Source organism: Homo sapiens, chromosome 4 (genome assembly GCF_000001405.40).
Source record: "Homo sapiens chromosome 4, GRCh38.p14 Primary Assembly".
NCBI lineage: Eukaryota > Metazoa > Chordata > Mammalia > Primates > Hominidae > Homo > Homo sapiens.
In genome coordinates this window covers 169,423,529-169,447,182 of record NC_000004.12, presented here as the reverse complement: position 1 = coordinate 169,447,182, position 23,654 = coordinate 169,423,529, and the positions used below count along the sequence as shown (strand labels likewise).

At 37.8% G+C, this 23,654-nt stretch overlaps 1 protein-coding gene across 21 annotated transcripts in view, besides 2 other annotated features; it reads left to right on the top strand.

Annotated features, from left to right (window-relative positions):
* The window catches only part of NEK1 (NIMA related kinase 1), a 219,775-nt gene that overhangs the window by 165,401 nt on the left and 30,720 nt on the right, over positions 1-23,654 (top strand). For 15 of the 21 annotated variants that reach the window (NR_164630.1, NM_001440625.1, NM_001440624.1 and 12 more), the window contains 4 exons: positions 8,924-9,100; positions 13,518-13,638; positions 20,949-21,037; positions 22,383-22,630. Coding sequence is in view for 20 of the 21 variants with exons in the window: in NM_001440625.1 (NP_001427554.1) it covers positions 8,924-9,100; positions 13,518-13,638; positions 20,949-21,037; positions 22,383-22,630 (635 nt within the window). In the remaining variant the exon portion in view is untranslated. The remainder of the gene's footprint in view (positions 1-8,923; positions 9,101-13,517; positions 13,639-20,948; positions 21,038-22,382; positions 22,631-23,654) is intronic. The other 6 variants (NM_001374421.1, NM_001440623.1, NM_001440622.1 and 3 more) reach the window with 1 other exon arrangement.
* Positions 8,991-9,050: a silencer, noted in NCBI's record as "silent region_15794". NCBI's record gives its function as "represses an Ori minimal core promoter by ATAC-STARR-seq in GM12878 lymphoblastoid cells {active_cell/tissue: GM12878}" and the evidence as "EXISTENCE:reporter gene assay evidence [ECO:0000049][PMID:35858748]".
* Positions 9,601-9,650: a silencer, noted in NCBI's record as "silent region_15793". NCBI's record gives its function as "represses an Ori minimal core promoter by ATAC-STARR-seq in GM12878 lymphoblastoid cells {active_cell/tissue: GM12878}" and the evidence as "EXISTENCE:reporter gene assay evidence [ECO:0000049][PMID:35858748]".

Sequence of the window (23,654 nt, the reverse complement as noted above, 5' to 3'; positions counted from 1 at the left end):
TTCTCCTTTGTTTGTCTTTGACCTTTTGGAGTTTGATTAGTAAATGTCTTGAGGTAGTCTTCCTTGGATTACATCTGCTTGGTGTTCTATAACCTTCTTGTAGTTGAATATTGGTATCTTTTTCTAGGTTCAGGAAGTTCTCTGACATTATCCCTTTGAATAAACTTTGTACCCCGGTCTCTCTACTTCCTCGTTACAACGAATCACTCTTAGATTTGCCCTTCTGAGTCTGTTTTTTAGATCTTGTAGGTATTCCTTATTCTTTTTCCTTTGTTTTTTGTCTCCTCTGACTATGTATTTTCAATTGTTTTTTGTCTCCTCTCACTATGTATTTTCAAGCAGCCTGTCTTCAAGCTCGCTAATTCTTTCTTCTTTTGATGTGTTCTGCTATTAAAGGACTCTTATGCATTCATCAGTATGCCAGTTGCATTTCTCAGCTCCAGAATTTCTGCTTGATTCTTTTTAATTATTTCAATCTTTTTGTTAAATGTATCTGGTAAGATTCTGAATTTTTTCTGTTATTTTGAATTTCATTGAGTTTCCTTAAAACAGCTATTTTGAATTTTCTGTCTGAAAGGTCATATATCTCTGTCTTTCTGGGATTGGTGTCTGGTACCTTATTTAGTTATTTGGTGAGGTCATATTTTCCTGGGTGGTCTTGATGTTATGGGTGTTCATCGGTGTCTGGGTGTTGAAGAATTTGATATTTATTGTAGTTATTTTGGGAGGTTGTCTGTGTGCAGGAATTTGTCTATTACCTCTAGGTTTTCCAATTTGTTAACATATAGTTGTTCATAATAGTTTCACATGGTACTTTGCATTTCTGTAGTATTTGTTGTAATGGCTCTTTGTTTTTTATTTTCTTTATTTGGGTCTTCACTCTTTTTCTCTTAGTCTCGTTAGTGGTTTTTCAATTTTGTTTATCTTTTCAAAACGCCAACTTTTGTTGATTTTTTTAGTGTCTGTTTGATTTTGTTCTGCTTGATTATTATTTCTTCTACTAGTTTTGCTTTTTTTCATTAACTGTAGTCATCCTACTGTACTATTTTAAACACTAGAATTTTATTCTATTTAACTGTATTTTGTATGCATTAACCAGCCACACTTTCCAGCTTCTGATAAGCACCATTCTGCTCTCTACTTCCATGAGATCAATTTTTTTAGCTCCCACCTATAAGTCAGAAACATGCAATGTGTATTTCTCTATATGGATAATGACCTCCAGTTCTATCCATCTTACTGCAAAAAAATAAGATTTCATTCTTTTTATGGCTGAATAATGGTCCATTTTGTGCATGTGTGTGTGTGTGTGTGTGTATATATATATATATATGTATATAGTTGTTTTGTTTTAAGTTTAGTGGGTGCATGTGCATGTTTGTTACATGGGTATATCGCATAATGCTGAGATTTGGGCTTCTGTTGAACCCATCACTCAAATAGTGATGATAGTACCTGATAGTTTTGTTTTGTTTTTTTTTGCCTTCTCCCCACTCCCTCCTTCCTTCCTTTTGGAGTCCTCATCATCTTATTATTTTCACCTTTGTGTCCATGTGTACCAATTATTTAGGTTCCACTTATAAGTGAGAACATGTAGTACTTGATTTTCTGTTTCTGAGTTAGTTCACTTAGGATAATGGCCTCCAGCTCCATCCATGTTGCTGCTTTTACTAATTTTGGATTTGACCTTTTTTTGCTTTTCTAGTTCCTTGAAATACATCATTACATTATTTATTTGAAATCTGTCTCTTTTTTTTATAAACAGGGTCTCACTCTGTCGCCCATGTTGGAGTACAGTAGTGCAGTTGTAGCTTGCTATAACCTTAAACTCCTGGGCTCAAGCAATCCTCTCACCTTAGCCTCCTGAGGAACTAGTACTACAGGCAGCCACCATGACCAGCTATTTTTTGTTTTTGTTTTTGTTTCAGTAGTGACAGGGTCTCACTTTGTTGCCCAGGCCGATCTCTAACTCCTGGCCTCAAGGATTCTCCTACATCAGCCTCCCAAAATATTGAAATTACAGCCATGAGCTTCTGGCCCTTTTGTGATATGGGTGTTTATTGCTATAAACTCTCAGCACTGCTTTTGCTGTTTCCCATAGATTTTGGTTTGTTGTGTTTCTGTCCCCATTTGTTTCATGAAATCCATTTATTTCCTTCTTAATTTCTTCGTTGACTCAATGTTTGCTCAGGAGCATGTTGCTTAAATTCCATGTATATGTACAGTTTCCAAAGTTCCTCTCGTGATTGATTTCTAGTTTTCTTCAGTTGTGGTCTGAGAAGGTACTTGATATGAAGTAGTTACGTTTTAATTTGTTGAGATTTGTTTTGTAGCCTACCATGTGGCCTGTCCTGGAGAATGTTGCATGTGCTGATGAGAAGAATGTATATTCTGCTGCTGTTGGATGTGTTCTGTAGATGTCTGTTACGTCCATTTGGTCTAAAGTGCAGTTTAAATCAAATGTTTCTTTGTTAATTTTCAGTCTAGATTATCTGTCCAGTGCTGTCCATGGGGCGTTGAAGTCCACAACTCTTATTATATTGGAGTCTATCTCTCCCTGTAGTTGCTTTATATATCTAGGGGTTCTGCTGTTGAGTGCACATCTATTTATAATTGTTAGATCTGCTCATTTAATTTTTCCCTTCATCATTATGTAATGACCTTCTTTGTCTTTTTTTACAGCTTTTGGGTTAAAATATGTCTTATCTGATATAAGTGTATGCCTTCTCCCACTCTTTTTTTGTTTCCATTTGCATGGAATATCTTTTTCTGTTTCTTCATTTTCAGTCTATATATGTAATGAGTTTATTGTAGGCAGCATGTAGTTTGGTCATTTTTTTTTAACCATTCAGCCAACCTGTATCTTCTAAATGATTAATTTATTTCATTTATATTAGAGGTTATTATTGATAGGTGAGGACTTAACTCTAGTCATTTTGTTAATTGGTTTTTGGATGTTTTGTATATTTGTTGTTCTTTTCTTTCTCTTTTATTGTTTCATTGCAGTTTGGTTATTTTCTATAACATTTGACTCCTTTTTCTCTTTTGTTTGTGAATGTGCTCTGTCAGGTTTTATACTTTAATGTGCTTGCATGGTGTTAGATACTGTCCTTTTATTTCCACATGTAGTGCTCTCTTAAGCATTTCTTATAGGATCAGTCTGCTGTTGAATTCTCCCAGTTTTTGCTTCTTTGGGAAAGACTTTATTTCTCCTTCATTTTTGAAGGATAGCTTTGGTGGGTATAGTATTCTTGGCTGACAGTTTGTTGTTGGTTTGTTTTTGGTTTTGTTTTTGTTTTCTCAGCACTTTGAATATATCATCCCGTTTTCTCCTATCTTATAAGTTTTCTGCTGAGAAAGCCATTGTTAGTCTGTTGGGGGTGCCCTTATATGTAATTTGATGCTCTTTTCTTTCTGTTTTTAGAATTCTCTTTGACTTTTAACTGTCTGATTGTAATGTGCCTTGGGAAGATCTTTTTGGGTTGAATATTTTTGTGTCTTTAAGTTTCCTGTATCTGAATGTCTATATCTCTTACAAGGCTTGGGAAATTTTCAGCTGTTATTTCGTTAGAGAAATTTTCTATGTCCTTGCCCATCTCTTTTTTTTTCTGAAACACCCAAAATTTGAATATTTGGGCACTTTACAATTTCTCTTATGTCACATAGACTTCCATTCTTTTTTTTTCTTTTATCCTTTTCTTTATTTTCTGAGTGGATTATTTCGAAAGAACTGTTTTCATTCAGAAACTCTTTTTTCTGTTTAGTCTATTGTTGAAGCTCTCAGTTGTAATTTTATTTAATTCATTGAATTTTGTGGTGGGTGGGGGGGTTTGGGGTTTTATTTGTTAGTTAATTTGTTTGTTTTTGAGACAGGGCTCTGTCACCCAGGCTGGAGTGCAGTGGCAGTGCTGTGATCACAGCTTACTGCAGCCTTGACCTCCTGGGTTCAAGGGATCCTCCCATCTCAGCCTCCCAAGTAGATGGGACTACAGGCTTTTGACACCATGCTTGGCTAATTTTGTTTATTTTGTGTAGAGACAGAGTTTTGCCATGTTGCCCAGGCTGGTCTCAAATTATGAGATAGATAGATAGATAGATAGATAGATAGATAGATAGATAGATAGATAGATAAAATATTTTTACTTGGTTAGAGACAGGCTGTCTGCCATCCAGGCTAGAGTACATTGGTGCAATCATAGCTCACTACAGCCTCAAATCCTGGACTCAGGAGATCCTTCCACCTTATCTTCCAGACTAGCTATGGCTATAGGCACATGCCACCACACCTGACTTACTTTTTAAAGAATTTCCTGTAGAGACAGTATCTCACTGTGTTGCCCAGGCTGGTCTCCAACTCCTGGCTGCAAGCGGTCCTTCTGCCTTCCTTTTCTAAAACACTAGGATTACATTTGTGAGTCATAGCATCTGGCCCTGTTTGGTTATCTTTAATGATATCTATGTTGAATTTCTCATTGAGACCATGAATTGTTTTTCTGATTTCTTTGTATTATTTATCTGTGTTCTCCTATACCTCACTTAGCTTTAATTTTACTTTGAATTGTTTTAGGCATTTTGTAGATTTATTTTTGTTGGAATCTTGTTGGAGAATTACCGTGTTCTTTTGGAGGTATCATGTTTCCTTACTTTTCATGTTTCTTGTGTCCTTATATTGATATCTGTGCATCTATTGTAATAATCACTTCTTCCGATTTTACGGATTGACTTTCGTAGGCAAAGACTTTTTCCCGTATATGTATCCATAGTGTTGGTTGAGTAGGGTGTTTTGGCTTTGATTCTGGGTGGGCAGAGTAGTGCAGTCTTCATATGATTTCTTTGGCTGTAATCAGTGTCAGTGGTATCTGTGAATTCCTGTGTGTCTTAGGTTATGATTGTTAGTGGAGACTCTGGTAAGGATTTACCGTGGACAGGGAGCCAGTTGAGCCAGTCCTCAGGCCCCAGTCTTGGCAGCATGCTGAGAATGCAGGTACTTGGCCCCCCAGATGGTGTTCAGGCACTGGTGATAGTGGGTCCAGGTAATCCTTGGGCCTCCACATGGCTTACTTGGGTGCCAGCAGTAGCAGTGGTGGGCCAGGTGGGCAGGGCTAGTCCCTGGGTCCATCATCAGCACTCATGGGCACCAGCAGTGGTGGTGGTGAACTGAGAGGGCTAGTCTCCAGGCCTTTAGTGCAGGTGGATGGTGGCAGTGGCTGCAGGTTGGGTCTCAGGGCCCTCTGGAAGGTATGTTTGGGTGTCTGTGGTGGCGGACAGAGGTGGGTAGATCTCCAGACCTCTGGACAATACACATAGCACTATTGGGGGCATCGCCAGGTAGAGCAGGCCTATACTTGGGCCCCTGTGTGGTGCATGTGCAGGCAGTTTATGTTGGGCAGGACTGGTTGATCTCTAGACCCTAGATGATGTGTGTGGGTGCTGGCAGGCTGGGTGGGCCCTTTCCCAAGCCCCTGGAAAGCTTATACAGGCACTAGCAGCAATAGGCATGGCAAATTGATCCCTGTGCCCCTGGATGATGCTCACAGGCCTTTGCCAAGGCAGTAGCAGGGCAGGGTGGGTCTGTCTTCAAGCCCTGTGATGGTGCTGTCAGGCACAGGTTGTGCTTAGCACAGTAGGTCTACCCCCAGGACCCCAGACTGCACACTCAGAAATCAGTGGTGGTGGTGGTAGGCAGGAGGGCCTGTCCTCAGGCCCCCTGACTGTGTGTGCAGGCACCTGCATCAGCAGGCATGGTGGGTTGATCTCCAGTCCTGGATGACATGCTTGCTAGTGCCAGCTCTGATGCATGGGGCAGATCGATCTCCCAGCTACCAGGTAGCATTCTCAGGTGGTGGCATCAGTGAGTGGGCCAGGCCTGACCTCAGGCTCTAGGATGGCACCCAAGCATGCCTATCTCCTTGCTCCTGAAGGTGCACACAAGTGCACATTCACCCAGGTGCTAGGGGAGGCAGGGTTGCTGTCAGTACCAGCAACTCCAGGAAGGCAGCTCCCAGGCTCTGGGGAGCACATGCTTCAGCTCCCTTTTTCCCAGGGGCAGCCTTCCTAATGTGCTGCACCACCCATTTCCTGTGGTGTAGGACTGTATGTGGGCTAGAGGACTAGGGACCTGGCTGCACAGTTGAGTCCAGCTCATGTCACAAGGTTGCAAATCTATAGGTGGACATGGAGTAAATGTCAGTAGGGCTCCAGGGGTGTGGAGATTCAGGGCCTGTTGAGCCCTGGGGCAGGTTGTTATCTGGTAGGGATTGGGTTCTCAAAGTGGCACCATGTTGCAGCTGCTTGGGTCTCAGGATGCTGTGTGAGATCCAGCACAAACTTCCTCTCTAGAATAATGCATCACTTTGACTCCAGGCAGCTTCCTCTACTAGTCTCAGGGCGCTTGAGGGCTGAGGAGCCATGGCTAGGCTTGCAGGAGTCCATGGTGAGAACATGGAGCACTGGGGATCTCTCTTACCATTTTCCTGCATTCAGGCAGGTCAATCTGTGGTGTTTCTCCTGGCTTCTAGCCAGTCCTAGCCAGGCCAACTGTTTCGCTTCCCTCTCCTTCCATGCCTCAGAGGTTCCCCATCCCTTTGCGGCTGAATTCCTGTGTTCTCTTTCAGATGCTCTATTCAATGTGTTATTATCTACTTGCTGTTTTGTACTTCTTTGTGGAACAGACAAGTGCCAGGTGTCTGTGGTCAGCCATGCTGAAGCTCTCTCCAAACCCATTTTCCAAATCAATTAATATAATAGTATAATTTCTCTTTTATTATATTAATGTTGCAAATTGCATTGATTGATTTTTAAATATCAAACAGCCTGAAAGGTAATATCCCTTTAAAAAAATTTTTTACCATTTTTGTGTGGTATATATTTCATTGGTTTTATTTTTCCTTTTCTGATTGTGAGTGAATTTCATTATGTTGCATTCTATTGACTATTTTGATTTGCTGCTTTGAAAATTGCCTGTTTATATTCTCTGCCCTTTTTTATATTTCATTGCTTTTTGCTATGTTTTAAGAATTTTTATCTAGTATAGCTATCCAGCCGGGTGTGGTAGCTCATGCCTGTAATCCCAGCACTTTGGGAGGCTGAGGCAGGTCATTTCAGGTCAGGAGTTTGAGGCCAGCCTAGCCAACATGGCGAAATGCTGTCTCTACTAAAAATATAAAAAATTAGCCAGGCATAGTGCCGTGCGCCTGTAATCCCAGCTACTAGGGAGGCTGAGGCAGGAGAATTGCTTGAACCCGGGAGGTGGAGGTTGCAGTGAGCTGAGATCACGCCACCGCACTGGGTGACAGAGCAAAACTCAGGTCTCTAACAAAAAAAAAAAAAAAAAAAAAGATACCCTAACCTCCTCCTCTTCCTTCCCCTATTTCTTTCTATATATAGATAGAAAATTTTATATCTGGACGCTGTACTGATTATTTTTACTAAATCTATTAAGCTTTCTTCCTTGAGATATTAGATGTTCCAAATGTGCAGATTTATCATCAGTGACAAGAAATAGATTTTTATCCTATATTTTGATTATTTCCTATTCTTCTGTTAGAACCCACTAAAGCAATCTTTAATAATAATAATAATGCGATATGGTATCCTGATTCCTGGTGTTAATAGACATGATTTTATTGCAGAATGGTAGGGCTGAAGGAGGAAAAACACAGATGTGATCTCTGCTACAGTCAGTTTGTTTTGGCAAGCAGTTTGTTGAAGTACAGTGCAGGGAAATGATTCTGAAACATTTGCAACACTATAGTTTTGTTCTCTGTTGACTAGAAAGAAGTAAAGAGTAAAACAACTTATAAATACTTGATGAACAACTTTTTTGCTCTGGAAATTAACTGAGCTAAGGACAGTTCCTGCTAGCCCAGTGTTATAAAAGGACTGCAGCCAACACAAAGGGCCTACTTGGCTTTAGAAACAATGAATTTAAATTGAGACCAATGAGCAAGGATTTCTGTTTTTCTTCAACCATTTTAACCCTGTGTATGCAGATATAGTAGGCAGAGAATTGAATTTATGCAAAATTGGGGTTTTGCCACTTGAATACAATAAGTTGAGGATGCACAAGAGAATGACTATATTATGGAATTTCTGTGAATTTTAATGGAGATGACAGAAAATGTAGCAGAATCAGTGCATTGTAGGTACTTTCAGGGTAAAATTTTTTTAGAGTTGGAGTTGTAGAGGCGGAGAAGTGGAAAATGAGTGTTAGAGATTAGAGGGTGGAATACTTAACACTGGAAATTTAAAGAGGCTATAATTAATGACAAGTTCTCTAAGATATGACCATTGGAGTGCTGGAGATAGGATGAAGACTGAGGTAGAGTGAAGTGCAACAAACCAAGAGGCCTACCTTTTGGAAGGATTATTGATACAAATATAGAAATCACCTAAATTAGTTATGACAGAGTTAGTGTTGGGGAGCTTGTAACCTGGAAAGTAAAATCTTCAACGGATTAATAGGAGTGAGAAGGTGGTAAATAACTGCATTAAGCTATTCTGAGGTAGTTTTTTTTTCTTTTTATTCTTTTTTGAACCTGTCTCAGGATGTTCTGAGGTAAACCTCCTCTCTCCTTAGTGTGGAGAATTTCAGAGCAATTAGAAGTAACTAGGAGTTACTTCATATAAACAGAATCAACTAGTTAATAATTTAAAAAATAGTATTCTAATACACATATTAATTTTACCAAAAGCAGAAAGAAGGTAAACCATTTTGACCACCATAGAAATTATTATGTACAATTGAAATGAAATTTGACTTTCATATACTGTAGTCACTTATTAACTTCTAATATGTAACAGAGCTTAACTAGTAATTGCCTGTTGCAGTAATGCAGCTTTTTGAACTTTGCCCCCAATGCCATTACAGATAAAATGCATCATTTTGAGAACTAGCATGATTTTTTATTTTTTGTTTTCACAGAGATTTCTCCCGAAGGGGAAAAGTACAAACCCTTAATTACTGGAGAAAAAAAAGTACAATGTATTTCACATGAAATAAACCCATCAGCTATTGTTGATTCTCCTGTTGAGACAAAAAGTCCCGAGTTCAGTGAGGCATCTCCACAGATGTCATTGAAACTGGAAGGAAATTTAGAAGGTATGTTCTAATGAGTCAAAATGAGCTATATTTGATTTAGTAAAAACTTAAATTTCACAAGCTTTATAAACAGATTATCAAAATTTGTATATGTTTGGGTAATTATCTCAAATTAGGTTCAGTATTTTTATATTTTTAGCTATTGGTCTTTTTTTTATGACTGCCTAACAAGTCACCCCAAAACTTAGTGTTGAAACACCAACCGTTTCATACCATGATTTTATGTGCCAGGAATTGAGTCAAGACTTGTCTAATGTGATTTTTCCTAATTCGTGTGCCTTTATCTCAGAGATCAGTAAGTGTTGGTCAGCCGGCAGCTAGGCTGGTCTGAAGGGTCCCAAAAAGCTTCACTGCTATCTTGGCAAGTACAGCTTAGCTGGGCCCCTCTCCCTCTTTATGTGGTTTCAGGGCTATTCTATGTACTCTTTCTGGCAGGATAGTCTGACTTCTTATGTGATGGCCCGGGGCTCACAGATGCTAAGGTGAAAGCAGCTTGTACTCTTAAAAGCTGATCTCAGAACTAGCACAGTATCACTTCTGCCGTATTCTATTAGTCAAAGCAGTCACAGCCCAACCTGGATTCAAAGGGAGGGCAAACAGAACCCACCTCTCAATGGGAAGGGCGTCAAAGAATTTGCATCTGTCCTAAATCTGCCATAGTCTGCCCTCTGACCAAAAATTATCTTCATTCCTCCCATATGCAAAATACACTCACACCTTCTGAAAGCCTCATCTCATTATGACATTAGCTCAGAGTTTAATATGATAACAAAGTCAGGCCGTGCAGATGGGTTTTCTCATCTACAGGTCTTTGAGTACAGTTATTCTCAATCTGAAGACCTATGAGTAAAAAAAAAAATTAGTTATTTGTTTTCCATATGTGCAAAATACAATGGTGAAACAACCTTTGGGACACCTTTTCGAAAACAAGGAAGATGGGAAGCAGATAGCAGTCATTGGTCCCTAGAAATTCTAAAATCCAACCAGGAATAGCATTGTCAGCCTGCTTCCTTGCACCAAAGCTTGGTGTGCTCAAGGGCTCTTCTCTTTTGCACTATGTTTGTCCCCTTCAGTCTGAGCTTACACAGTGCTTCCAAAAGCAGAATTTCTAAATAATTTTGTGGGTTTATGTGAATATTATTGATACTCACTGTGGTTAACAAAAGCCACTCATGTTTCTGAGACAGACTCTTCTCTACCTTCAGTTATCTATGAGGATACTGTAAGACAGTGCTGTTGAGTTCTTAGAAATTCTTTCTCTATCAAAGAGGGTCTGCAAGACATGCCTTTAAATCTTTCTGTGCTGTAACAGATCTTATGTGCACAACCTTGACTTCATCTTTGCCCTGAGGCCACACCCTACTGTCCTAAATTTAGTCTTTGTCTTGAGGCCATGTCTTCCTTTGAGAAGCATTTGTTGCCTAGAAGGAATCATCCTGGGCTCTCTGTATCTCTTCTAAATTCTGCTCATAAGCTAAACTTTTTTCTTCAATTAATCTCTAGTTTCTTGTTCTTTATCAGAAGTTATTAGAAGCAGCTGTCACTTTGAATGTTCTGCTTTGATAATTCCTTAGCTAGACCACTGGATCCATAAAGTACAGTTACTATCTTCCACATTATTGCAGTTACCAAATTTTCAGCCACCGTAGAGCAAGAATCCCCTTTTCTTCAGCCTCCAGTAACTGTTTTTCACTTGCCAGTCTCTCACCAACAATGTCATTGAAGCCCTTCCAATTTCTGCCTGCTCCGCAGTCCCAAAGCCAGTGCACATAGGCTTTTACATCAGCTCCTTGCTTCCGGATATGTAATTCTGCTTCAATTATCTATTGCTGCAAAACAAATTACTCCTAAAACTTAGTAGCTTAAAATAACAATTTTAGGCCAGGCTCAGTGGCTCACACCTGTAATCCCGGCACTTTGGGAAGCCAAGGCTGGCATATCGCTTGAGCCCAGGAGTTCAAGACCAGCCTGGGCAACATGGCAATACCCCTTCTCTACTGAAAATATGAAAATTAGTCACATGTGGTGGTGCATGCCTGTAATCCCAGCTGCTAGGGAGGCTGAGGTGGGAGAATCACTTGAGCCCAAGAGTTTGAGGCTGCAGTGAGCCATGAGCATGCCAGCCTGGGTGACAGAGTGAGAACTTGTCTCCAAAATAAAAAACAATTTTTATTTTTATTTTATGTTATCTCACAATTTTTTGAGTCAGGAATTTGGAGGTTCTTCTGCTCCATGTAGCATCAACTGGTATTGCTCAGTGGTATTCAGCCATCAGCTGGGCTTTTTTGGAAGACGCAAAATGACGTCACTCCCATGCCTGGCATATTGGCAGGGCTTATTCGGGTCCCTCTCCTTCATTTTAGTCTCATGGCATTGCAATGTGGTCTTTAAGAATAAACTATTTTCATGATGGCTTGGGCTTCCAGATATCAAATAGAAGTTCCCAGTTCTCTTAAAGGCTCAGCCTGGAACTGGCATAGCATCACTTTCACTGTCTTCCATTACTCAAGGGAATCACCATGCCAGCTGAAATTAAAGAGGAGGAGAAACAGAGCTCCCTCTAGTTGAGAGGAAAACCAGAAACCCTGCAAAATGTGACCATCCTTAATTCACCACAGTAACTTAAATAATCTTATTCATTAGAACATAGTTACTAGTATCATTATGGAACGAAAGTTTGTTCCCCTCCCTACCCCCCAAAAAAATCATATGTTGAAATCTAATCCCTGATGTAATGGTATTGGAAGTGGAGTCTTTGCAAAGTAATTAGGTTATGAGAGTGGCGCCCTCATTAATGGGATTGGTGCCCTTATAAGAATAGGCCAGAGAGCTTTCTGCTTTCTACCACATACGGATACAAGGAGGAAAAGGTTATCTGCAAAACAGGAAGAGGGCCCTCTAGAACCAACCGTGCTGGCACCCTGACATTGGATCCTTCAGCCTCCAGAACTCTGAGAAATAAGTTTCTATTATTTACACCACCCAGTCTATGATACTCTGTTATAGTAGCCTGAACTAAAACAGTATCTTATGCCTTTTCTTTAAAAAAGAAAAGAAAATAGTGTTAGGCATACTATGGAAGCTGTATAGCCTAGTGCAGGAGTTGATAGACCAGAGAATAAATATTCTAGGCTTTGCAGGTAATGCAGTCATAAGTCAAGTTTATAGAATAAGTTGATAATGATACAGCTTAAAGTACTAGGAAACAGAATTATTCATTAAAAAATAAAAAAGGATTTTGCCCCCAAGTGCTTACCTTGAATGAATGACCAAAATAATCATTTGAATAAAAGATAAAAACTTAAAGATTAGTACAATATCAGTTGTCTTTCCAAATAAGACAGATAATTGGAAGCTTTAAAAATGGAGAAGTATGTCTGTATTCCAGGGGAAGTAAGAGGGATAGTGTTGGCTTAAACAGGATATTATTGATAATCTTAATTGGAAAGGAAAAAGAGAAGTTAACAAATACTCTCCTCATCGCTGTTCACTTTTGGAAAATATTAGCCAGGTGAAAAATGAGCCACTGCCAGAAAACAGAGGTAACATCTTGATGTTAATTGAGGGTCAGGCCAGGCGTGGTGGCTCACGCCTGTAATCCCAGCACATTGAGAGGCTGAGGCAGGTGGATCACTTGAGGTCGGGAGTTTCAGACCAGCCTGGCCAACATGGTGAAGCCCCATCTCTACTAAAAATACAAAAATTAGCCTGGTGTGGTAGTGTGTGCCTATAGTTCCAGCTACTCAGGAGGCTGAGGCAGGAGGATCACTTGAGCCCGGGAGGTGTAGGTTGTAGTGAGTGAGCCAAGAGCACACCACTGCACTCCAGCCTGGGCGATGGGAGTGAAACCCTGTCTCAAAAAAAAAAAAAAAAAAAAAAACTATTTGAGTGTCTAAGAAAATAGATTTTTAGTGCCATTCAATTATGTTCTCAATATCATTGTGAAAGTCCTGGTAATAGTTTTTCTTTTTTGACTATTAAAAGATAGATTTTGAAGATTGAAATTTTATTTTAGTCACTAATCAGTAATATCACAGTCTATTCTTCCATATTTCTAACCACAAATATCTTTATTCTTTAAACTGTTTTTATACCTTCCCTAAATGAATTTACATATTACTAAAATTTTAATTGAAGAGAAAATTTTACATAATGGTGAAAAATATAGAGTATACCATATTACCTTTGAGCATTTTTATTACAGTAAAAGGCAAAAGAAGTAGTCTGTCGTTTCAGAAATAACTGAACTAAAGACTTCACAATAAGAGTTAAACCCTATAGAGAGAATACTTAATTTTTCTGTTTTAATGAATATATTACCCTAAAACTAGGTAGCAATAATTTATAGCAAGTTTATTCAATATTCTCTTGACAAATTTTGCTTTGAGATGTCTCTCGTTACGTTTATCCTTTGCAGAACCTGATGATTTGGAAACAGAAATTCTACAAGAGCCAAGTGGAACAAACAAAGATGAGAGCTTGCCATGCACTATTACTGATGTGTGGATTAGTGAGGAAAAAGAAACAAAGGAAACTCAGTATGTACATCTTTTCCTGACATTTTAAAACCCAGGTCCCTTTTGTAATAACTTTTAAGAAAATACTATAATAAGCTAATATTGCAACATAATATCCTAATATTGTAATACCTTATAAAAGGAACTTAATTTGAATAGATATTCATATGGTTCAGAAATAAACAAGTATATAAAATATTTGAAGAGGCCGGGCACAGTGGCTCACACCTGTAATCCCAGCAATTTGGGAGACTGAGGCGGGCAGATCACTTGAGGGCAGGAGTTCAAGACCAGCCTGGCCAACATGGCAAAACTCTGTCTCTACTAAAAATACAAAAATTAGCCAGGCATGGTGGCACGTGCCTATAGTCCCAGCTGCTTGAGAGACTGAGGCACAAGAATTGCTTGAATCCAGGAGGCAGAGATTGCAGTGAGCCAAGATCATGCCACTGCACTCCAGCCTGGGCTACAGAGCAAGACTGTCTCACAAAAAATAAAGTGGGCCAGGCACGGTGGTTCACACCTGTATTCCCAGTACTTTGGGAGGCCGAGGAGGACGGATCACCTGAGGACAGGAGCTCGAGACCAACCTGGCCAACATGGCAAAACCCCATCTCTACAAAAATTAGCCAGGCATGGCGGCGGGTGCCTATAATCCCAGGTACTCAGGAGGCTGAGGCAGGAGAATCACTTGAACCTGGGAGGTGGAGGTTGCAGTGAGCTGAGATGGCACCACTGCATGCCAGCCTGGGCAACAGACTCTCCAACTCAAATTAATTAATTAATTAATTAATTAAAGTATGATGATATGCAGTAAAAAGTCTTGCTTACATCTGTCCCCATCCACTCTTGTCTTCTTTCATATATTTCTAGTATATGCTTAAGCAAAAATAAATATATTGTCTTCCTCCTTACAGTTAACTACATTTGTTAGTATAGTGTACACAGATTTTTCCACCTTGTTTATTTTTGGTCAATAATAAATCTGGGAAATTTTTTAAATAATAATACATGAAGGGCTTTCTTTTTTTCTTATTTTATAGCTAGTTAGTATTCCATTATGTAGAATACCACAACTCAACAAGTTTCCTACCTGCTGGACATTGATTGACATTACAAATGATGCTGCAATGAATAACTTTTTATATAAAGTGACTTTCGTATGTGTATATATCTGTAATAAGTATAATTGCTTGGTCAACTGCATTTTTATAAGTTGCATTTGTAATTTGGTTATTGTTCTCCTGGAGGTTGTACTGGTTTACACTTTCAGAAAGAATGTCTGAACCCCATTTTCTCCACAGCCTTGCTAAACTTTTCTCATCAAACTTTTTGAGTTTTTCCAATCTAACAAGGTAAAAAATAGTATATCTGTTTGGGCTGTTAGTTTGTCTAGCTCTTATGATAGGTAAAGGTAAGCACATCTTTTCAAATGTAAGTTTCATTTGAACTTCCTTGTCTGTGAATTTTCTCTTTATATCTTTGGTCCCCCCCTTTTTTTTTTAATTTAGTCGTTGGTCTTTTATAAATTAGTAAAAACTCTTAAAAGTGAGAGATATTTGCCCTGGTGGTTACATGAATTGCAACTATTTTTTCTCTGCTGGTCATTTATGTTTTGTGTGTGTGTGTGTGTGTGGTTTTGCCATGCTGAAGTATATAGTTTATTTTTGTTTATCTTTTATTGTTATCATATTTATCTGAGCTTTGATAGTTACTCAGAACAGCCTTGTTCTTTCTAAGATTACCAAATTTTTTTTCAGTTTTTCTAGTATTTTTTTTCTTTCTTTTTTTTTTATTTTGGTGGAGACGGAGTCTAATTTTGGTGCCCAGGTTGATCTCAAACTCCTGGCCTGAAACAATCCTCCCGCCTTGGCCTCCCAAAGAGCTGGGATTACTGACATGAGACTGTGCCTGGCCAGCATTCTAGGACTTTTATTTGATGCTTTATACATTTAAATATTTGATTTTTTTACATGTAAATCTGTGGAATTTATCATGGTTTATAGATTTGAGTCTGTTTGTATACATTTTTTCCTATTAGTCTGTCTACAGTAAGCTAGTACATACTTTTAATTAATAAATTATAAAATATTTTGGCATTGTTATGTATCGGTTATCAGGTTTTTTATTTAGGTTTTCTATATACTTAACAATTTTTATTCACTTCATTGAAATGAGTGAAGGCTTCTTCCTACTAATGTGTTTCCATTTATTTCATTTTATATTTCAAGTGATTTTTATCTAATGAATGTTGCTCCTAAGTTATTTGGTGCATAGATATTCACAAGTATAATACTCTTGTGGTAAATTACACATTATAGCATTATAAAATATCATTGTTTTAGTCTTGCTTAATATTTTTGACTAAGTTTTATCTTTTTATTTATATTTTCCCAATCTGCATTGGCTCATCCTTCTGTTTTCAGCTTTTCTGAATTATTTTATTATGTTTCTGATATCGTTCGTGATTCAATCTGAAATTTTTGTATTTAAATATCTAGTTAATTTACAGAAGTATGCTATATCTTTGATATGATATAATAGTTGAATTTTGTTGTCATTTTTATTTTATTTGTATATTCTTTTTAGTCTTTTGCTGTATTGGCTGTATTGGTTTTTTTAACTAATAGATTTCTGTAAGCAATTTTAGTTTACAAAAAAATGAGCAAAAATTATAGACTTATTAGATACCTCTCACTCCCCACCCCCAACAATTTTTTTTTTCTTATTCCTGACAAGTGATATTTTTAACATCTTGCATTAATGTATTTCATTTGTTACAACTGATGAGCCAATATTGACACATTACTATTAACTTAAAGTTTATAGTTTACATTAGGGTTCACTATTTGGTACATTCTACAAGTTTTGACAAATGTGTAATGACATGGATTCACATTACACTATTATTCCTATGATACTGTACAATCCTCTGTGCTTCACCTGTTTATCCTGTCTTCTTTGCACCCCACAATCCCTGGCAGCCACTGACCTTTTTATTGTCTCCATAGTTTTGCCTTTTCCAGAATGTCATCTAGTTATATAGTATGAAGTCTTTAGATTGGCCCCTTTTGCTTAGCAGTATGTGCCCAGTGGCTTACACCTGTAATCCCAGCACTTTGAGAGGCTGAGGTAGGCAGATCTCTTGAGGCCAGGAGTTCGAGACCAGTGTGGCCAACATGGCGAAACCCTGTTCCTACTAAAAATACAAATAAATTAGCCAGGTGTGGTTGTGTGCACACCTGTCATTCCAGCTACCTGTGTGGCTGAGGCATGAGAATCACTTGAACCAATGGTAGAGGTTGCGGTGAGCCAAGATTGCGCCACTGTACTCCAGCCTAGGTGACAGAGTGAGACTCTGTCAAAAATAAAACAAAAACAAAAACAAAAAAAGCTCCTTAAAGGCAGAGAGAGTGTTTTCTATTTTTTAAATCATTTTTACATATTATAGGAATAATAGAAAACCGGTGTTTGATATGTGTGTGGAAATTTAATAAATGGTAAAGATTTCTAATCAACATAAAAAGATAACCTATTTAATACCTGCTTTTGGGACAAATAAATCACAATTTGGAAGAAATAAAATAATCATTTCCATTTCTGAAATCATTCAACAAAACAATACCAGATTGATTAAAGACCTAAATAAAAAATTTTTAAAGGAGGCAGCCTAACATAAAAATTAATATCCAGAATTTATAAAGAATGTGTATAAATTAATAAGAAAAAGACAGAAGTCCAAGGGAAAAATGGGGAAAGGTGATGAATAGGCTATTCATGAAGGAAGAAATCCAGATAGTAAATACAACAGTATGATACTTTAGGAGTTACAGGGCATCGATAAAATGACAGATGGTAAGTGTTTGAGAGACTAACTTAGTGGAGAACTAGGGTCCTGTGAATGTCACTGCTAGTCAGATACTTACTCCTCCTCAAAGAAGAGTGAGTAAAAGGCAGGGCAAGAGTCCTTTTCCACATCAGTGGAAAAGATGTATTTTCCACTGATTGTTTTTCCATAAAATAACATGAAGCAATGGGGAAGAGAAATGACATATCAAATGTATGTGAGGGATTGGGACTATGGTTCTTTGATGGACTGCAAATACATATATGAAATGGTAGAGCCAGTTTAGAGATCCATTTGACAGTTTTTTTAACGTTTTAAATGTGCACATCCTATAATATACCTCTTTTACTTTTGGTATCTACTCTTCAGATCCTTCATACATGAGCACAAAGAAGCAAATGCAGGAATATTCATTCCAGGAGAGTCACAGCCAATAATTTGCAACAGTCTAAATAAGCATTAATAAGGAGATAGCTAAAAATACTGCTGTGTTTCTGTATACAGCCATCCTTTAGTATATTTGAGGGATTGGTTCCAGTATCCTTCGTATACCAAAATCTACATATACTCAAGTCCCACAGTGGGTTCTGTGGAATCCATATATATGAAAAGCCAGCCCTCTGTGTACACGGGTTTGCATCCCACGAATACAGTATTTTCAATCCACATTTGGTTGAAAAAAAAATTGCATCTAAGTAGATGCATGAAGTTCAGACCCATGTTGTTCAAGGGTCAACTCTAAAGCATTAATGGAATATAATACAGCACCTAAAAGAATAAAGGGGACTCTTTATTAATATGGAAAGATGTCTAAAACATTGATTAATGGAATAAAATAATATTGAATGAAAAAACCATCTCCATAGATTAGATTAGCATGTAAATTTAAAGGAAAAATCTCGTAAGGTGTGCACCAAACTAATAATAGGAAAGGCAACTGGAATTCGAGTAGTTAGGAGTCCTGAAAGGAACTTAACTTTTTTATTGGAATAAAATTCACATAACGTAAAATTCACCATTTAAAATTGTACAAGTCAATTACATTTAGAAATTCACAGTGGTGTACAACCATCACCACTATATAGTTCCAGAACATTTTCATCACCCACCTCTCTATCTGTTAAGCAATCATCCCCCGTTTTTTCCCTCCCCACCAACCTCTGGCAGCCACTAATCTGCTTTCTGTCTCTGTGGATTTAGCAATACTGGATTTTTCTTACAGAATCATATAGTATATAGCCTTTTGTTTCTGGCTTCTTTTACTTAACATACTGTTTTTAGTTTTTCATCCATGTTGTAGGATATGCCACTTCTTCATTTCTTTTTATGGCTGAATAATATTCCATTATATATATATATATATATATCCCATATATTTTTATAATTCATCAGTTGATGGGCACGTAGGTTGTTTCCACCATCTGGCTATTGGAAGAGTGCTGCAAAGAACATTGACACACAGTATCTGTTTGAGTCTTTGCTTTCAGTTCCTTTGGGTATATACCTTGGAGTGGAATTGTGGCATCATATGGTAGTTCAGTTTACCTTTTTGAGGAACCAAGGGACATTATATTTTGAATGAATAAATATGTTGCTTGACTGGGGAAAGTGGCTCATGCCTGTAATCCCAGCACTTTGGGAAGCCAAGGTGGGAGAGTTATTTGAGGTCAGGAGTTTGATACCAGCCTGGGCAACATAGCAAGACCCCACCTCTACAGAAAAAAAAAAAAGCCAGGCATGGTTGCATGTGCCTGTAATCCCAGCTACTTGGGAGACTGAGGTGGGAGGATCACATGAGCACAGGAGATCAAGGCTGCAGTGAGGTGAGCCATGATTATTCCACTGCACTCCAGACTGGGCAACAGAGCAAGACCCTGTCTCTTAAAATAAATATATATATAAGCTTAAAAAATAAAAAACAGAGGCTGGACATGGTGGCTTATGCCTGTAATTCCAGCACTTTGGGAGGCCGAGGCGGGTGGATCACCTGAGGTCAGGAGTTTGAGACCAACCTGGCCAACATGGCAAAACCCCATCTCTACTGAAAAATACAAAAATTAGCTGGGTGCAGTGGCATGTGCCTGTCACCCTACCTACTTGGGAGGCTAAGTCATAAGAATTGCTTGAACCTGGGAGGAGGAGGCGGCAGTGAGCCAAGATTGTGCCACTGCACTCCAGCCTGGGTGGCAGAGTGAGACTCTCTCAAAAATAAATAAAATAAAATAAAATAAAAGCAGAAAATGGTTGAAAATCTGAAAATGAGAAAGTAGAAAATTATTTAAAATTTGAAACAGGCCGGGCGCAGTGGCTCATGCCTGTAATCCCAGCACTTTGGGAGGCCGAGGCGGGCGGATCTCAAGGTCAGGAGATCGAGACCATCCTGGCTAACACGATGAAACTCTGTCTCTACTAAAAATATAAAAAATTAGCCGGGCATGGTGGCGGGCTCCTGTAGTCCCAGCTACTCGGGAGGCTGAGGCAGGAGAATGGAGTGAACCCAGGAGGCAGAGGTTGCAGTGAGCCGAGATCGTGCCACTGCACTCCAGCCTGGGCAACACAGTGAGACTCCATCTCAAAATAAATAAATAAATTTAAAAGATAAAATAAAATTTGAAACCAATTTAAAAGTATTTAGAAAATAAAAACTTACCTATAAGCTAACTCCCAGAGATAAATTACTGGTACTTTTGGAATATATTCTTCCAGTCTTTAAATTTTTGTTTAAAAAAAATGCATGAATTTAATTCCCAGGCATATAGAGATAAAAATTGTGAGTTCTTTTTTATTTTTTTTTCCTCAATCTTAATCCCCTCCCTTTGAGGGTTAAAATATTTTTGTGAATCTTATTCTATTTTTCTGTGCTACAAACCATTTTTTCAAAACCTAACACCATTTAATACAAATTGGTCTGTGAATCACTTTGTTTACTTAACAGTATATCTTGCCTATTCTAATCAGTTTATATAGATCTCTGCTTCATTTTTTAACAGCTGCATGATATTCCATGGTATTAATATATTGTAATTGTTTTATATTCTCCACTCTTAAGGGGCATTCCCATTCTTTAAAGTAGTGGTTCTCAAACATTAGCATGTATTAGAATGACTTCGGGACTTTTCCCAACTAATTGCTGGGCGTTATCCCCCAAAGTTTCTGATTCACAGGTCAAGGGTGAGGCTGAGAATTTGTATTTCTAACCAGTTTCTTTACTATGCCGTTGTTTGGGGACTGTACTTTGAGAACCATTGTTATAAAACATGGTGAGCCTGGTTGCTGTGAATGATTACTATTTGGTGAGGATTTGAACAGGGTGAAAAATACATTGTACTTATGTGAGAAAGTATATATGAAAGTGAGAAAAATACTTGGAAGAGGGATCAAAGAATGCTAGTGAACTTGTGTTCCATTTCCTGTATTTTAGAGCACTTTTATTTCTGGTAAACTAAGTGTGTGTGTTTTTAATTGGTGTACCCATCTGTGGCAGGTCGGCAGATAGGATCACCATTCAGGAAAATGAAGTTTCTGAAGATGGAGTCTCGAGTACTGTGGACCAACTTAGTGACATTCATATAGGTAAGCATCATTGCATTAGTCTAATTACTTTCTGGAAGATGTTAATGATTATTAACATCAACCTGTTTTATTTGGGTAATATATAAATAAGAAAGCATTCCTTATCAGTCATCTCAATCATTTAAAAAATATAATAGGCATAGCACACTGGACTACATTAATAAGCCTGGATTGTATGGCAACATGGCAGTGAAAGTTTTTGGTCAGTTATTTTTATTGAATATTAAAAATGAAAAGAATTACTTGCCAAAGCTAAGCCAGTGTACTAAGGACATTAAATAAATTGTTTTCTTTTTAAAATAGTATTAGTTAAAATGTAAGAAAGGTAGGCTGGGTGTAATGGCTTACACCTGTAATCCCAGCACTTTGGGAGGCTGAGGTGGGAGGATCACTTGAGGCCAGAAGTTTGAGACCAGCCTGGACAACATAGCGCTACTCCATCTCTACAAAAAATTTTTTAAATTAGCCAGGCATGGTGGCATGCCTGTAGTCTCATCTACTCAGGAGACTGAGGTGAGAGGATTGCTTGAGGCCAAGACTGCACTCCAGCCTGGGCAATAGACCAAGACCTATTTCTTAAAAAGAAAAGAAAAAATAATTGTTTTCATCTAACCTATAGGAACAAAGATAAACTGGAGCTAAATATGTATCTAAATAGTGTATTTTTTCACCTTTCTTTGGATTTATGTCTTTTTTTTTTTTTCATTTTGTTTGTTTTTCTTGAGAGACAGGGTCTCACTCTGTTGCCCAGGCTGGAGTGCAGTGGCGCGATGATAACTCACTGCAGCCTCGAACTCCTGGGCTCAAACAACCCTCACCTCATCCTCCAGAGTAGCTGGGACTATAGGCATGCGCTACTACACCCAGCTAATTTTATTTTTTGTGGAGACGTAGTCTCACTTAGTTGCTCAGGCTGGTTTCAAACTCCTGGCCTCAAGCAATCCTCCACCTTGGCTAATTTTATTTTATTTTTTGTGGAGAGAGAGTCTCACTTAGTTGCTCAGGCTGGTTTCAAACTCCTGGCCTCAAGCAATCCTCCCACTTTGGCCTCCTGAGGGGCTGGGATTACAGGCATTAGCCACCATGCCCACCCTTGTGTCTGTATTGTAGAACTTTCAATATAATGAAAGTACATAACAAATTAAATCAACTCTCTGAAGATAGAACATTGTATCCTATTAAAGATTATTCAGAAGGTAATATACTGACACACATATTTTGATTTTATTTTCCTGATATGTGGGTTTTTTGCTAGAATTTGTGTTACATACTGTGCCTTATCAATATCATTTAGAACTTTAAGTACTGTATAGACTTACCACATAATCTCTCCTTTCTACCACAGAGCCTGGAACCAATGATTCTCAGCACTCTAAATGTGATGTAGATAAGTCTGTGCAACCGGAACCATTTTTCCATAAGGTGGTTCATTCTGAACACTTGAACTTAGTCCCTCAAGTTCAATCAGTTCAGTGTTCACCAGAAGAATCCTTTGCATTTCGATCTCACTCGCATTTACCACCAAAAAATAAAAACAAGAATTCCTTGCTGATTGGACTTTCAACTGGTCTGTTTGATGCAAACAACCCAAAGGCAAGTATGGTCCTCAAGTGGAAAATATTATCCATTCGATAACATGTATTATTGTTTTTCTTTTATAAACCATAATATTGAGTTTTAATCTCTTAACACAGACACAAACACACATCCAACAAAAACCTCCATCTTCTGAGCAAATAAATTGCAATTGAGAGTACAACTAGGATAAAGACTATTTCATTGGCTTCCTGTTCAGGATTTTTTTTATAGAGTCTTTTACTTGAGCAAAAAGTCCCTTTATATACCCTCATGCACTATTGCTCTTTCCCACTACCCAACCTGACTTCCATTTTTAGTATCACACTAAGTTTAAGCAATATATCTTAAATAGACAGAGGTGCTATATTGCCTAATTTGTATATAAAAACATTAAGAGATATTCATATGCACTTTCTGGTAGAAGTTTTTCGGACCTCTTTTTCTCACTTGCTATTTTTGAATATATGTAACCAATTTTTTCTTATAAAAAATATCTCTACAGAAAATGTTGAAACGCAGGTAAAAATAAGAAATAATCATTTGTTATATTACTCTTTATATAACCTTTGCATATACATAACTTTTTACCAAAATAAGATTTTATGTATACTCTTTATAACCTTTTCTATTCAATATATATTACGACATTATTGCAAATGCCATTATTACAATACTGTGATGAAAATAGCACTTTGTCATTGTCACATATTCTCTTTATATCATCATAAATAACTACATATTCCATTGAGCTGCTTATCATAATCTTTTTACAAATCTTTTTCTATTGTCATGCCTTTCCGCTGTAATTTTTGTTGTTGTAATCACACCTCTTATCTTTGTACATATCTACAATTATTTCCCTAAAATAAATTTCTATAAGTGGAATTCAAAAGGTTATATTGTATACTGCCTGATTTCCAAATAGTTTATAGTGCTGTCAATAGTATGTGAAAGTACATCCATTTCTCTGTGTGTTAAATACCACCCACTATTATTATTTACTTAAAAATTGTCTATTTATCAAATGAGTAATGTTATT